Consider the following 2,800-nt stretch of genomic DNA (forward strand, 5'->3'; position numbering starts at 1 on the left):
TAAATAGCTAATAAGAGATTTGATTTGAACCTAGGTCTGAGTGATACCAATATTGATGCTCTTTCTGCCACATTATATTGCTTCTAAAGATATACATGAGAAATTTTGCTTTTATCTCCATTTGTTCTTGGAGTAGAGGGAAAGGAATAGAAGGGCACGGTCGATATCTCCTGGCATGATAATAATGATAATAATAGTAAACACTTATATAGCAATTAAGATGTACTTGGTACTGTTGTAAGTAGTTTAAATACACTTCTTACACTATACTATCACAATTCTATGACTGAAATATTGTCGTGAAACTCCTCCTTTTACAGATGAGCAAACTGAGGCACAGAGAGTTCATGAACTTCTCCAAAGCCACACAGATAGTAAGTGGCCAATACGGGATTCAAAACCATGAGTGTAGCAGCCAAGTGGATGCCCTTAGCTATTCTGCCTCCAAACATCCCCACATGGGACACAGAAAGAAGATAACCAGAAGAACCCAGAAGAAAAGAAATCCATATTGCACAGAGACTTTTTCTAGTCACTCTATGGGTTTTCACTATAACTTTATGCAGATAAAGTAGAGGTGTATATTAACACCCCATTACACAGATAACCTTCACAAGACCTTCAACTTGAGGATCAATTAGATCCTGGAAAAAGGCTGCAAGTCTTTATATCATTATATTTATATCATTATATCATTTATATCATTATAAATTAGACTTCTATTTTCTATAGCAAAACATGATAAATTAGGTTTATTTCTGGAAAAGCATTCAAATAAAAAATACCAAAATAAACACAAAAATACATGAAAGAAACACAAATGTAAGCTTTCATAAACATTTCTTACATTACACATTTTACATAAGTTTGGTTTCTACATATACTAGACTTGTTGAAGGTTATTAAAATAGGAATCAATGAAGTTTGGATTGAAGGTAAATTATTTTTCCTCGCAGACTTCCCTGTAGCAAGCATAGGCATATGTCACTGCTTTAGGCATCTCAGACTTGAATTCAAAATTAGAGTGATTAGTCTCAAAACTTTTTATTCTAATTTGTTGTGAATGAATGGAAACTTTTAGCATAGTAAAAGCTGGGAGAAATCATTTCCACAGTGTCATCTTTTTCAATGACCTCTTGCTCTTCTATTTCAATAAGTCCTTTGACAATGACCTCTACCTGATTTGTCAATATTGCTAATTATTGCAGTCATTATCAACTACCCTCATGGTTTTGGTATTTTGGGTTCTGATATACGCTACTAAAATTCAGGCATCTTTGTTTATGTGACCCTATTATTTTACAATATAAATCTGAAATCTGAAAATTATTTGCATATTGATTATATATTTTAAAATTCTGTTTCACTCAAATTTTGTATTAAACTAAGTGTTCTTGTTTAGAAAGCATTCTTTCTAAAAGTCCAGATTCCTGAAGATGAAGAAAATGACAATTGATATAGTAAATTCTCATTCATAAGAATAAGTCCTATCTACTTCAAAGGACTTCTGCACAAGTGGCATATAAATCTGACAGTTTTGAAATTGGAAAAGGTAACTGCTTAAAGTATCTAGCGGTAGAAAATAAAACCAAAGAAGATACAAATGAAGCTGAAGTAGCAAAAATTCAGTGTGCTCTCTCTCTCTCTCTGCATATATATCTATATATATTTACATAGATATAGATCTCTATCTCTCTATATATATGGTATTAGTCCATTCATAGATAGATAGATAGATAGATAGATAGATAGATAGATAGTATTAGTCCATTCTCACGCTGCTAATAAAGACATACCAGAGACTGGGTAATTTATAAAGGAAAGAGGTTTAATTGACTCACAGTTCCACATGGCTGGGGAGGCCTCAGGAAACTTACAGTCATAGTGGAAGGCACCTCTTCACAGGGTGGTAGGAGAAAGAATGAGTGCCCAGCAAAGAGGGAAGCCCCTTATAAAACCCTCAGATCTCATGATAACTAACTCACTATCTCAAGAACAGGATGGGGGAAAATGCTCTCATGATTCAATTATCTCCACCTGGTCCCTCCCATGACATGTGGGGTTTATGGGAACTAAAATTCAAGATGAGATTTGGGTGGGGACACAGAGCCAAATCATATAATTTCACCCCTGGGTCCTCCCAAATCTCATGTCCCCACAATTCAAAACGCAATCATGTCCTTCCAACAGTCTCCCAAAGTCTTAACTCATTCCAGCATTAACTCAAAAGTCCAAGTCCAAAGTCTTATCTAAGACAAGGCAAGTCCCTTTCACCTCTGAACCTGTAAAATCAAAAGCAAGTTAGCTACTTCCCAGATACAATGTGGGTACAGGCATTGGATAAGTACACCTGTTCCAAATGGGAGAATTTGGCCAACACAAAAAGGCTACAGAACCCATGTAAGTCTGAAGTGCAATAGGGCAGTAATTAAATCTCTTAAAGCTCCACAATCTCCTTTGAGTCCATGTCTCACATTCAGGTCATGCTGATGCAAGAAGTGTGCTCCCATGACCTTGGGCAGCTCTGCCCTTGTGGCTTTGTGGGGTACAGCCCCCTTCTCAGCTGCTTTCATGGCTGGTGTTGAGTGTCTGTGGCTGTTCCAGGTGATGGTGCAGGCTATCAGTGGATCTATCATTCTGGGGTCTGGAGGATGGTCCTCCTCTCACAGCTCTACTAGGCAGTACCCCAGTGGGTATGCTGTGTTGGGGCTCCAACCCCACATTTCCTTCCTGCACTACCCTAGCAAAGGTTCTACATGAGGGCTTCACCCCTGCAGCACATCCAGGTGTTTCCATACAT

This window comes from Homo sapiens, chromosome 3, assembly GCF_000001405.40.
Source record: "Homo sapiens chromosome 3, GRCh38.p14 Primary Assembly".
NCBI lineage: Eukaryota > Metazoa > Chordata > Mammalia > Primates > Hominidae > Homo > Homo sapiens.